General features: G+C 48.1%; 1 protein-coding gene across 39 annotated transcripts in view, besides 5 other annotated features; it reads left to right on the top strand.

Annotated features, from left to right (window-relative positions):
• The window catches only part of FNBP1 (formin binding protein 1), a 166,693-nt gene extending 154,126 nt beyond the window's left edge, over window positions 1-12,567 (top strand). For 23 of the 39 annotated variants that reach the window (NM_001439056.1, XM_017014492.3, NM_001439052.1 and 20 more), the window contains one exon: window positions 3,758-4,493. In NM_001439056.1, the coding sequence (NP_001425985.1) occupies window positions 3,758-3,936 (179 nt within the window). In that variant the 3' untranslated portion in view covers window positions 3,937-4,493. Of the gene's footprint in view, window positions 1-3,757; window positions 4,494-9,207 lie in introns of those variants that run through there. The other 16 variants (NM_001439055.1, NM_001439054.1, NM_001439053.1 and 13 more) reach the window with 1 other exon arrangement.
• Window positions 6,370-6,664: a silencer, noted in NCBI's record as "tiled region #3297; K562 Repressive non-DNase unmatched - State 8:EnhW". NCBI's record gives its function as "represses a minimal TATA promoter and a strong SV40 promoter by Sharpr-MPRA in K562 cells {active_cell/tissue: K562}" and the evidence as "EXISTENCE:reporter gene assay evidence [ECO:0000049][PMID:27701403]".
• Window positions 9,897-10,784: an enhancer, noted in NCBI's record as "H3K27ac-H3K4me1 hESC enhancer chr9:132651249-132652136 (GRCh37/hg19 assembly coordinates)". NCBI's record gives its function as "activates a minimal SCP1, AML or CMV promoter by ChIP-STARR-seq in naive H9 embryonic stem cells {active_cell/tissue: H9 hESC(naive)}" and the evidence as "EXISTENCE:reporter gene assay evidence [ECO:0000049][PMID:30033119]".
• Window positions 9,897-10,828: a biological region, named in NCBI's record as "H3K27ac-H3K4me1 hESC enhancer GRCh37_chr9:132651249-132652136".
• Window positions 10,739-10,828: an enhancer, noted in NCBI's record as "active region_29127". NCBI's record gives its function as "activates an Ori minimal core promoter by ATAC-STARR-seq in GM12878 lymphoblastoid cells {active_cell/tissue: GM12878}" and the evidence as "EXISTENCE:reporter gene assay evidence [ECO:0000049][PMID:35858748]".
• Window positions 11,159-11,558: an enhancer, noted in NCBI's record as "active region_29126". NCBI's record gives its function as "activates an Ori minimal core promoter by ATAC-STARR-seq in GM12878 lymphoblastoid cells {active_cell/tissue: GM12878}" and the evidence as "EXISTENCE:reporter gene assay evidence [ECO:0000049][PMID:35858748]".

Genomic DNA, 13,461 nt, shown 5'->3' with positions numbered 1-13,461 from the left:
CCTTCCTTCCTTCCTTCCTTTTTTTCATACAGGGTCTCGCTCTCTTGCCCAAGTTAGAGTGCAGTGGTGCAATCATGGCTCACTGCAGCCTTGACCTCCTGGGCTCAAGTGATCCTCCAACCTCAGCCTCCTGAGTAGCTGGGACTACAGGCAAGCACCACCATGTCCGGCTCATTTTTGTACTTTTGTACTTTTTGTACTTTTCAGTAGAGACAGGGTCTCACTATGTTGCCCAGGCTGGTGTTGAACTCCTGGATTCAAGCAGTACTCCTGCCTCAGCCTCCCAAAGTGCTGTGATCACAGGTGTGAGCCACTGTGCCTAGCCACACTCTTCTCTTTCTGTGACCAGAACTTTCTTTAGAAGCCTTCCAGATCTGGCCGGGCATGGTGGCTCACACCTGTAATCCTAGAACTTTGGGAGGCTGAGGCGGGCAGGTCACTTGAGGCCAGGAGTTCAAGACCAGCCTCGCCAACATGGTGAAATCCCATCTCTACTAAAAATACAAAAACTGGCTGGGCATGCTGGCAGGCGCCTGTAATCCCAGCTGCTCGGGAGGCTGAGGCACGAGAATCACTTGAACCCGGGAGGCGGAGGTTGCAGTGAGCTGAGATAGCGCCACTGTACTCCAGCCTGGGTGACAGAACGAGACTCTGTCTCAAAAAAAAAAAAAAAGCTGCAGCAGCAGCCTTCCAGATCCTTCTCTACTATGCTTTTATCCTACTCATGGTATGATTATTATTTGGTTGTATATTTTGACTTTTGGTTCGTATAACTTAACAGCTTCCAGAGAGCTTGCTTCACTGCAGCAGACGATAGGGAGGATGATCATTTCATCCATTCATTTAATATCTAGTATCTATAGCGCTCCTGTCTTGTAAAGGCCCATGAAGTGGGGGGATGCAGGTCGTATGATATGGCACCTGCCCAGAGGGAAATCAGGCAGACACACTTAAGGAGCAAGCAGCGGCTGGGTGCAGTGGCTCACGCCTGTAATCCCAGCACTTTGGGAGGCCGAGGCAGGCGGATCGTGAGGTCAGGAGATCGAGACCATCCTGGCCAACATGGTGAAACCCCATCTCTACTAAAAATACAAAAATCAGCTAAGCGTGGTAGCGCATGCCTGTAATTCCAGCTACTTGGGAGGCTGAAGCAGGAGACTCACTTAAACCAGGAGTCGGAGGTGGCAGTGAGCCGAGGTCGTGCCACTTTACTCCAGCCTGGCAACAGAGCAAGACTCCCTCTCAAAAAAAAAAAGCAGGCAGTTTGCAGTGTTTGCCAGAAGAGGGATACAGAGGAACGGGGAGGACAGGGGAGAATGAGGTCGCTTCCTTAAGGAAGTTTGGAGAACTTGCCATGGCATGGGGGGTGTGGCCAGAAATGGGTGTGGTGTGGCTGGAGCTTAGATGTCTTAAGTCCTAATAGTGAAATGTGGCACTAAAGAGTGGGAAGTGCCAATGGGGGCGAGGTAGGGAAACATCTGGGTTTTATGTGGCAAACATTGAGGAGCTATGGGAGGTCCCCTAGCAGGGTGTCGATGCAGTCAGAGCTGTACCTTAGGAAAGTCATCGTCAGATGTGTAGGATCCACTGGAAGACATGGAGGATGGTTAGAAAGACTAGCCCAGGCCGGGCATGGTGGCTCACGCCTGTAATCCTAGAACTTTGGGAGGCTGAGGCAGGCAGATCACCTGAGGTCAGGAGTTCTAGACCAGCCTGCCCAACATGATGAAACCCCGTCTCTACTAAAAATACAAAAATCAGTGAGGCGTGGTGGCGGGCGCCTGTAATCCCAGCTACTCGGGAGGCTGAAGCATGAGAATTGCTTGAACCCAGGAGGCAGAGGTTGCAGTGAGCCAAGATCGTGCCATTGTACTCCAGTATGGGCAACAGAGGGCAACTCTGTCTCAAAAAAAAGAAAGAAAAGATAAACTAGCTTAGTGTTTCTAAACCAATGAACCTTGAAACGATGTCCTGCAGAGCGTTAATAAGGAGGCCATGAAAGAAGCTCTCAGGCCAGGCTCAGTGGCTCACACCTGTAATCCCAGCACTTTGGGAGGCTGAGGCCAAGAGTTCAGGGCTACAGTGAGCTATGATCGTACCACTGCACTCCAGCCTAGGCGATAGTGTGAAACCCTCTCTAAAAAATAAATAAATAAATAAATAAAATTACGAAAAAGTTGCATTTTAATATAATGAATAAATTTTTAAAACTAGCAATCAGAGCTCAAGTAAGTTTGGGAAGCCCTGGGATAAATAAATTTTACAGATTTCTTTACTACAGGACTTTTCAGAGCCTTTAATAGACTAAATGTTCATTGTGACAAAATAAGAAAGACGTACCAGTTTAAACGTTCCCAGTTTTACTTCATATTCCAACCATCCCCCACCGTACCCTGTTGCCCTGTTAACAGCTCCCTAAACTCTTTGCCTTGCAGAAAACTGGGGGGTGGTGGGCAGCCTTTGAAATGATCCTAGCAGAAGGTCTTGGGGGCCTTGTTCAAGGAATGGATACAGAGATGCCGCCATTGACAAACTGCATATATTCGGGGCTGATCAAAAGCCAGGAACAAAAAGGAGAGGAAATCCAAGACGGCTCCCAGAGTTGCATTCCTGGGAGGACAGAGAGGTCTAGGGAAGTGGAAAAGCAGGAGGATATAGTTAGGAGGAAGAACAGTGAATCCAGGTTCATCTATGTTGTTTCAGGTGTTGGGGCCATGTCTAGGTGGCAGTGTGCTGCAGACAGTGGGAAAAGTGGAATCTTGGCTGCAGAAAGTACCAGAATGGAAGCAATATGTGAGGACAGTGTTTAAAGAGGAGCAGTTGGGCCGGGCGTGGTGGCTCACGCCTGTAATCCCAGCGCTTTGGGAGGCCGAGGCGGGTGGATCACCTGAGGTCAGGAGTTCAAGACCAGCCTGACCAACATGGTGAAACCTCGTCTCTACTAAAAATACAAAATTAGCCGGGCGTGGTGGCACATGCCTGTAATCTCAGCTACTCGGGAGGCCGAGGCAGGAGAATCACTTGAACCCGGGACAAGTGGCATCACACTCCAGCCTGGGCAACAGAGCAAGACTCTGTCTCAAAACAAACAAACAACAACAACAAAAAAATTGGGAGGCTGAGGCTGGTGGATCACCTAAGGTCAGGAGTCAGACCAGCCTGACCAACATGGTGAAACCCCATCTCTACTAAAAATAGAAAGGTTAGCCGGGTGTGGTGGTGCACACCTATAGTCTCAGCTGCTCGGGAGGCTGAGACAGGAGAATCGCTTGAACCGGGGAGGTGGAGGTTGCAGTGAGTTGAGATTGCACCACAGCACTCTGGCCTGGGCAACAAGAGCAAGACTCCATCCCCCACAACCCCCCCAAAAAATAACAGACAAAAGAGAAGCAGTTGGAGCCACGAGGGTACCTTTCTCCTGAGAGAGATCCAAGTGAGACAGAAGAAGACTAGAGAAGAGAACCAAAGATTTATCCAGTGAGAAATACTTACCATTCTGGGAGGGAGGAGAAAGAGGGCCCTGGAGGACTTAGAGAGGGTCCCTAGAGAGACAGAGGTAAGAACCTGGACATTTCTGTGCAGAAGGAGATGGTTTTGAGGCAGTGGGTGAGGGGTCCGTGCATCTGAGAAGGTCCGAGTGGGGTGAATTTTGTGTGGACTTCATCTTCGACGACACTTGTTTCATTGCGAAGGCCACTGTTTGCTTCCTCCCTGCATTTGCCAAGACATCTAACATATCCTGATATTGCTTTTTCAGGTCAGAATGAAGGAACGATTTCCGTAGTTGAAGGAGAAACATTGTATGTCATAGAGGAAGACAAAGGCGATGGCTGGACCCGCATTCGGAGAAATGAAGATGAAGAGGGTTATGTCCCCACTTCATATGTCGAAGTCTGTTTGGACAAAAATGCCAAAGGTGCTAAGACTTATATTTAATACCATAAAAAAAAAAAACTTAAAAAAAATGGAGTTGTTTCTCCCCACAACCATGACTGTTACAGGCAGTTCCTCAAGAGACTGGCTGGCAAGCACCATAATGCACGTTCTCCTGTAGTCTCACGTGGACTTCAGGGTCTGGGCACCTGAATTGCCTTGTCTAGTTTGGGCTGTAATCAAGTTTCACTTGCTGATGAAATTTTATGTGGAAAGCTGCCAACCGCCAACTTACAGCTATGTCATTCAAAATCTGATAAACATTTCTTCTTTTGGCGGTATCTGTAGATTAAAAAAAAAGTTGCATTGTAGCTTCTCATCTTTCTGAATTTAAAAGCCGGCACGCATCATGCAGGTGCCAAAGACTTCCCTACTCTTGTTTATATCTAGTATCCACCATACACTGAGCTACATTAGGTGGTTACAGATTGTAACTTAATAAACTGAACTGTGTTAGTTTGTTAAATTGTATACTCATTCACTTGGGAGGAAGTCACAAGTGAAATAACATCTCCTTCTTGACTAAAGCAGTAAATAAGATTCTTATATTGGCACCAAAAGTGTGTGTTTTTACTTAAACCTGGTCAGCATCCTTGGTAGGGCATCACGAGTACCCTGTTCCATCTACATGATCCCAGACAACCAGCTGAAATCTGGAAAAGTTTGGTGAATTGACCACTTGATTTTTACATTGCATTGCTGATTTTCCAAGTGTCATCAAATTGACAGGTTTTTGTTGTTGTGTTTGTGTTTTTGTTGTTGTTGTTGTTTTGAGACAGAGTCTGGCTCTGTTGCCCAGGCTGGAGTACAGTGGCTCACTGCAACCTCCGCCTCCCCCAGGTTCAAGCGATTCTCCTGCCTCAGCCTCCCGAGTAGCTGGGATTACAGGTGTGCACCACCACGCCTGGCTAATTTTTGTATTTTTAGTAGAGACGGGTTCGCTCTGTTGGCCAGGCTGGTCTCAAACTCCTGACCTCAAGTGATCTGCCTGCTTCTGCCTCCCAAAGTGCTGGGATTATAGGCGTGAGCCACCGCACCTGGCCCAAATTGACAGTTGATCAGATGTGCTAGTGCTGTTTAGATGGAGTTACTTAAAAGGCAGAGCGTGTCCCTGCATCAGCTCCTTTTGGCTGTGATTTCCTCTCACACTTGGTTCGGTTTCTGTTGGTTTTCCAAGTAGAGCTGCACTCACGCTTGCCCAGGTGGGGCTATAAAGAGAACGTGGTGTGGCAGCAAATGCTTCTCCCCACAGACACAGATCTCAGCACATTGCTGTTCAAAGACTTTGGGGGTTTGCTTTTGTTTTTTTGTTGTTGTTGTTTTTGTTTTGTTTTGTTTCTGCTTTTAATCATTGGCAAGGTTTGGATTTACTGGAAATTATTTTAGAATTTCTGGCTCATTTTATACAATTAACTGTAGCCAGAATGAAGTAAAATGTCTCACCACATCGAAAGGAATCTAGGCCACATGAGAATTTGCATTTTTAAATTGGCATTGATGTGGGAGGGGAGATAGTGAAGTTGGTCACATGCGTAGATGGTTGCCAGGCATTTCACTGTGCCCATTTCCAGAATCCACCCCGAGATCATAGACAACCCACTACAAATGGGTCAGAATGAAGGTGTTGGGTCAGATTCTCTTTTTATTTGATTTTGAAAATTATTTCCTTGTGTCCTTCCTACTTTCAAGTAGGAAATTAGCCCCTGCCTGCCTCTACATTGTGGGTTCATTTGATCAGCTCAAGTCCATTTAAAGCTGATTTTCCAAGCAGTAGCTGCACATTCGGGCTCTAGAACCTAGTAGGGGTTCTGGATGCTAGGGGCCGTGTTTCAAGATTCTCACAGCCAGTTAACCTTTATTTAGTGACAGCCTGATTTTTTAAAAAACTTTTTTTTTTTTTTTTTTTGAGATGGAGTCTCGCTCTGTCGCCAGGATGGAGTGCGGTGGCACAATCTTGGCTCACTGCAACCTCTGCCTCCTGAGTTCAAGCGATTCTCCTGCTTCAGCCTCCCAAGTAGCTGGGACTACAGGCGTGTGCCACCATGCCCAGCTAATTTTTTGTATTTTTAGTAGAGACAGGGTTTCACCGTGTTAGCCAGAATGGTCTTGATCTCCTGACCTCATGATCTGTCCACCTCAGCCTCCCAAAGTGTTGGGATTACAGGCATGAGCCCGTGCCTGGCTTTTTTTTTTTTTTTTTTTTTTTTTGAGACAGAGTCTCACTCTGTCACCTAGACTCAAGGGCAATGATACAATCCTGGCTCACTACAACCTCTGCCTCCCGAGTTCAAGTAATTCTTGTGCCTCAGCCTCCCCAGTAGCTGGGATTACAGGTGCCTGCCACCACACCCGGCTAATCTTTGTATTTTTTTTTTTTTTTAGTAAAGACAGGTTTTCACCATGTTGGCCAGGCTTGTCTCAAACTCTTGGGCTCAAGTGATCCGCCCGCCTCAGCCTCCCAAAGTGCTGGGATTACAGGGTGAGCCACCGTGCCAGGCCCAAATTTCTTTTGGATACTTTTGCTGGCATAGTATCAATAAAGCCACCCATCCCGACCCCAGGCCTCTTTGTAGATATTGCAGCAAGAAAATCAGCTGACCCTTCAACCACAAGGATCTGTTTAAATGAGCAGTAGGAAGTTTCCAGCTTTACCCAGTAAACAAGTGAATGGGAAACCTAAGGTATTAAAATCTGACCTTTCTATCCGATGACAAACTCATTTCCAGTCTGTGAACTCCTGGACAAAGCAAACTAACCACTGAAAAACTCGAAAATAGGGCAAGACGACATTAACCTTGTGAAAGTCTGCTTTGAAAAAAGGCATTCTGTCAAGCTGTGTATTTTTTTCTTGATTATTCAAATTTATTTCGTTATTCAAATTTAATTCAGAAAATAGCTCAGTTGGTTTCAGGGGGAATGGGGTGGGAGGGGTTTGGGCACATAAATTTATGATGATAATTTTAAATGTACGATCATTAAGTTGTATGCCTCAGTACTATAACAGGTGAATCTCTGTAATATTGACTAAACAGTTAAAAGATATTTTGTAAATTTCAGGTCCATCGCATCAATGCATGAAATATTAGAAAACCAAATTCCAAAGAATCAGGAATTTCCATTTCCACCCAAAGTATACTTTATTATCTTCTAGCAGTTGTCTGTTAATATAAAAGCAGCAAAATCTCAGCTACTTATATAATTTTCTCCTTTTATTTGAAAGTTACACTTAGAGATTAATAATATGTACAGAGAAGCTTTTCCTGCCTACTCTGTTTATAACTCTGTCCAACTTGCCCACAAACACTGCCCTCCTTCAACCCATCTGATGTGGGCAAAGCCACTGTTTTCTTAGGCCCATAACTCAGTGCAGCTGTTTTATTTTTATAATGCCGGTCAACCTTTTTGTGTGTGTGTGTGTGTGTGTGTGTGTGTGTGTGTGTGTGTGTGTGTGTGTCTACGATGTGCTTATTTAATAATTGCCAAAATATTTAGACTAGAGTAACTTCCGGTGGGTCAATTGGATTGTGACTTTCTTTTGTGGTTTTTTGGTTCTTCGATTGCTCTCTGTTAAATATTTTCATAATTCCCCCCACAGAATACGTGTGTATATACTGCAACTTAAAAACTAAAAGCAGTACTCGAATGAGTTGTTTTAATGTTGTACTTTTATCTGTTTGTTTTATGGGTTCTCCTGCTGCCTAATGACCTTTCTGTTTTTATAACTGCCGGAAAGCCGCGAAGCCTCTCGCATGGGGAGCTAGGTCCCCGCTGCGGCTCCGCACTTGAGTTTATTATAAACTCTGGGGTTCTGAGTAAGTTTTGTTTGAATACAGCAACATGATTGTCTCTTTCTATTCTTATCCTAAAAGACTCTGTCTGGCATCTTTTAGTTGTACCCTCGTATCTGCTTCTCTAATAAATGTTATATTTTTTCTCAGTATTGTGTATTTTAAGTGACTTTTCATGTTTCCAAGAAAATTATTCTGTGTAATATGAATATTTAACTCTTTCATCTCCAGTAATAGGGGATTTTCTAGCCCAATGCTTTTTTAAAAATTCTGCCTCCCACCCCTACCTCCTCCTTTAAATGATGGCACCTCCCCTGTTTCTGATCTTGCGTGCACTCAGGGCCTGAGAAGTCTGTGTTTCTTTTGTTTCTTTTCTCTCTCCTTGAGATGAAGAGCTTTTCACGGTTTATTGCGGAATGAATACAGAACAACAGGTTTTCCTTTTCACCAAAGATTTTACATTGTACTGCTGAAGAGCCAAGAGTTTCCTTCTGAGAGAATTGGACCTTCATGTTCCTTGTACCATTCTAGGAAATTGATGCATTTCTTTTCTTTTCTTTTTTTTCTGGAGTTGAATTCTCACTCTGTTGCCCAAGCTGAAGTGCAGTGGTGTGATCCTGGCTCGCTGCAGCCTCGACCTCCCTGGGCTCAAGCCATCCTTCCAACTCATCTTCCCGAATAGCCGGGACTACAGGCGCATGCCAACATGCTGGTTAATTTTTTTTTAATTTTTTGTAGAGATGAGGTCTGGCTATGTTGTGGCCCAGGCTGGTCTTGAACTCCTGAGCTCATGCATCCTCCCTCTTCAGCCTCTCAAAGTGCTGGGATTACAGGTATGAGCCACTGCACCCAACCTCCGTTTCCTTTTTTTTTTTTTTAAGACGGAGTCTTGCTCTGTTGTCCAGGCTGGAGTGCAGTGGCCCGATCTCAGCTCACTGCAACCTCCGCCTCCTGGGTTGAAGCGATTCTTCTGCCTCAGCCTCCCAAGTAGCTGGGATTACAGGCACCTGCCACCACGCCAGGCTAATTGTTGTATTTTTAATAGAGATGGGTTTTCACCATGTTAGCCAGGCTGGTCTTGAACTCCTGACCTCGTGATCTGCCTGCCTCAGGCTCCCAAAGTGCTGGGATTACAGGCATGAGCCACGGCGCCCAGCCCCGGCCTCCGTTTCTTACTTTCTCTCAAAACTAAACTTATGAGAAAGACGAGTTGGGGCGGATGGCCTCATCAGTCTCCTGTTTGGGCTTCTCTTAACTCTGAAGGAAAGACCAGCTAAAGGCTAGAGAGAAAACCGTGAAAGTTCCTCATCTCAGACCCGCCCTGTGGTAACCGATTGCTCTAAGACGCCCCCTCCCATCCCTCCCCTCCCACTACCCTCCCCTCCCAGGGCGGTGCAGTTTGTAGCCAAGAGCAAAATGCCCGCCTGGAACCCGCGCCTTCCTCTCTAACAGAGAGTTTCTCTTTCTGTTTCTCTTTGTGTTGTAGATTCCTAGAGGGGAGTGCCTGCGAGCCTCGGGTGAGCCTTCCTGGAGGAGCCTCCGTCTGCTTGTTCCCACAGGCCTCCAGCGCCCTGCCCTGTGGACAGCCCACCCCTCCGCAGCCCCATCCCTGCGGGGCGGTCTCTCTCTCTCTCCAGCATGCTCCCTGCGGCCCTGCCCTCCCGCCCAGCCCGGGCCACCTCGTGGGGGACAAGTCTCGCCAGCGCCCACCCCCATGGCTCGGGTCAGTCCTCATCGCTCCCCCTCCCCACCCCGCGCAGGCCACTGAGACGGTGGGACACACGCCCCTACCTGCTCCTTCCTGGGCCCTCAGTCCACCCGGGCTCGTCCTGGCAGCCCTTCCGCGCTTCACACAGTGCCTTTTGTGAAAGTGTCATCACGGGTCCCCTGAGGAGACAAGGCAGGTCCAGCGCACATCAGGCGGACTGAGCACTCGATGTCATCCGTGTCGATGTCATCCGTGTGTCCCAGACTGTCTGCTGTAGAAAACACTTCCTCCTCTCCTGAGTCTGTGAAGTCCTCAGTGGTCCTTTTTGGATTCTAGGCTTGCACCTCATACTAAACATTGACCCTTTCACTATGCCCTCAACCTGGGAGCATCTGGCAGGCAGGGGGGCAGGTACACACACACCCACAGGCACACCCACCAGTACACACGCGTGCGCATACACACATTTTGGTTTGACGCCCTGTTTTCAGTGGCCTGGGGAGGTCCACACTGGAAGTCGAATTCCAGCTCGCCTTGTTGACTCGCCTGTGTCCACCGGCCATGAGGAGCCCACGCCTGTCCTCCCCATCACTTTCCTGTCCCTGAGAACTGTAGATCATGCGCTTGTGAGCGAGGCCCTCCCCTCTGCACCAGCTCATTGCAAAGCGAACATCCTCTCCTTTCCAGGAGCCCCAGGATTAGCATCTGAAAAGGGTAGCACTTCCTTTTTTGTTGTTGTTTTTTTTTTTTTTTTGAGACGGGAGTCTCGCTCTATTGTTCAGACTGGAGTGCAGTGGCATGATCTCGGCTCACTACAACCTCCACCTCCTGGGTTCCAGCGATTCTCCTGCCTCAGCCTCCCAAATAGCTGTGATTACAGGCGTGCACCACCACGCCCGGCTAATGTTTGTATTTTTAGTAGAGACAGGGTTTCACCGTGTTGGTCAGGCTGGTCTCAAACTCCTGACCTCAGGTGATCCGCCCGCCTCAGCCTCCCAAAGTGCTGAGATTACAGGTGTGAGCTACCGCACCCCGCCGAGGTTAGCACTTTCATCACCAAAGACCCCGTGCCTCTCGTGGTCCTTTGAGGGATCCCGCCGCCACCACCCTTGTATTTTATCACGTGCTCTTCAGGGCATGTGGAATTCGTTGAGTTTGCTTTTAGAGCCAAGTTTCTTTCCCTGTGTGGGTTTTTGAGGAAAACCTGAGGTCCCCTAATCTGTGGCCACCACCCCCCCCCCCCGCCACGCCTTAGAGCAGAGCAGCCCCTCCTCTCATTTGGTGCAGAAACAGTCAAGAGGAACCATTGGCCTAGAGCTCCTGTGACCGAGAGCGCCACGGAAGCCTGGGGATGACGTCGGGCAGCTTTATTCTTTGCTTGGCTTTGGTAACTAGGTGGTCCCCTCAAGCATCCTCAGTTCCTCTTGCTGTTTATGAATCTAAGACAAGGAAGTCCTATAGAAGCCAAAGGGACAGGGACGGAAAGGACAGGTCCCAAGGGATGGGGCTGTCTTTACTTGTGGAAACCAGGAAATTGCTCCTCTCAGCCAACCAAGGTTGACCACACACCACCCTTCCGGAGCAGCTCAGTCAGCCCTCGGGGACGAGAAACCACAAGCGCAGAGACGCTGAGGCCCAGGCAGGTGAAGAGGAAGTGGCTTTGGGTTTTTAAAGTAGGTGAGCGTGAGCCTCTCTGACTGCTTCTTCCCCGGGGGGGACTGCAAACCGCTCAGGGTTGCGGCAGAGCCATGGACTTCCGGTCCCTGCAACGGGTGACCTAAGCGTGGTGCACCCATCAGTCACGCAGGAGGACTGACTTGACAGACGAAAGACAAGCCCGGATGACACAGGGTGAGAAGAGTCAGGGCCGCACCTCTGTCCCTGCAAACCAACAGGTGCATGGTGAGTGTGGCAGTCCCCACAGCTCCACAATGGGCTCCCCCGCCAACGGGGACGACAGGGATCTTCAGGAACTTCTGACCTCACCAAGTCAAGTGGACCACTCTCCACTCCACGAGGATGTGAAACGGTTCTTTAAAATGGGATTTTAGAGCCTCGGGAATGCATGTGCGTCACATCTTTCATATTATGGGTCAGGATAGATTCATTTCTTGCAACATAGTGGAAAAGATATAAGCTGCAGTAATTTGCTCTTTGAATGACCGTCACCCCCAGTATAGGATATGCTTGTATCCCCCCGTCACTCCTCCGCCTGTTTTTTAAACTTTTCCACCACCTGCGTCCAAAAAGAATGTTATAGCGAGTGCTCTTAAATGTTGAACCTGGGTGTTGCTTCCGGGCCAGTCTGCGTGGCTCCATGAAAAGCTCACTGCTGCCCCAGCCGGGCTTCTTAGAGGAGGTCAGTTGTCCTATGTATCATCATTTACTCTGGGAATCCTACTGTGAAATCATGTCTGTATTTTTCTGGAGCAGTTCACATAGAGTAGAATGTGGAATTTCCCGTGAACGTCTCCTTCCTCCCCCGTATCTGCCGCCTGTCACTTCGCCACCGTGCTAGAATACTGTTGTGTTGTAAGATGACTAATTTTAAAAGAACCTGCCCTGAAAAGTTCTTAGAAACGCAGTGAAAGGGAGGAACTTGTCCTTTACCCAGTTTTTCCTTTGTAGGATGGGAAAGTATAAAAAGGCACAGAAGGTTGTCATGGGCTGTTCCTTGGGGGTTTTTATCCTGCTCACCGTGGAGATAAGCCTGCGGCTTGTCTAACCAGCGCAGCGCAAAGGTCTCGATGCCTTTTGGTAACATCCGTCATTGCAGAAGAAAGTTTACACGACGTCAAAAAGTGACGTTCATGCTAAGTGTTTTTCCAGAAATATTGGTTTCATGTTTCTTATTGGCTCTGCCTCCTGTGCTTATATCATCCAAAAACTTTTTAAAAAGGTCCAGAATTCTATTTTAACCTGATGTTGAGCACCTTTAAAATGTTCGTATGTGTGTTGCACTAATTCTAAACTTTGGAGGCATTTTGCTGTGTGAGGCCGATCGCCACTGTAAAGGTCCTAGAGTTGCCTGTTTGTCTCTGGAGATGGAATTAAACCAAATAAAGAGCTTCCACTGGAGGCTTGTATTGACCTTGTAACTATATGTTAATCTCGTGTTAAAATAAAATATAACTTGTGGCTCCGTGTCACGGGACTGTTTTGTTGCATGAAGATATGACCCTAGTTGTGGAAGCAGCCTGGTGTCATTGGAAGCCCCCTGGGCTGGGGAGCTGGCCCCTGGGAGGAGCTGGAGACCTAGATAGCTCTCAGTTCCACCCCCATCCACGGTGGAGGGGGAGGCTCTCAGACCGTGGTGACGTGGAATTCGGGCTGATGTAGTGCGAGGATTGCGAGAGGCTGCTTATGGCCAGGAGTATTTTTTGCATGCACATTCAACTGGTTGCTGCTCTAGCTCTTTGGGGACCTCATTGCTTGGGGCTGGGGCAGGAGGAGGTGGTGAAATGAGGGCACACCTGAGTTTCATTATTTATCTGGTATCACCAGTGCTCAAGCCGGTACTCCTGGTGGCGTGGCTGGAATCACTAGTTTCTGTGAAGCTGCAGGCAGTGCGGAGCTGTTTCACGTGGACAACTCGAAAGGGCAGCAGCCTTGTGCCTGGCACTGGCTGGACATGTGCAGTGGGAGGCCCCGTTTCCACAGCCAGCTTTGAAAATTTCACCCTGGCCTTTTGGGGGAAGATAGGATTGGTTTGTGCCCACACTTCTCTGTGTCCCAAGGGTTTTTTTTTTTTTTTTTTTAGCACTGTTTTAGGAAAACAGTTGTCCAGGAAATGACATATTCGCAGCTACACCAAGTGCAGACCTGGCAGCTCTGCTGATGCCAAGCATCCTCACTTGCGGAGGGCAGGAGGTGAGGGCACCAATATGGGGCCATTGGTAACCTCTAACCACAAGTGCGTGCAGTTGGCTTCAAGGCACCATTGAGAATTGCTGGTTCCCAGTGTGACACAGTGTGGCACAAGGGAACAAGGTGGATCTACTGTTATCCTACCCGAAACCCTCTCCTCTAGGT

This window comes from Homo sapiens, chromosome 9, assembly GCF_000001405.40.
Source record: "Homo sapiens chromosome 9, GRCh38.p14 Primary Assembly".
Lineage (NCBI taxonomy): Eukaryota > Metazoa > Chordata > Mammalia > Primates > Hominidae > Homo > Homo sapiens.
The sequence above is the reverse complement of the archived record's forward strand: the minus strand, read 5'-3'. Positions and strand labels throughout refer to the sequence as shown.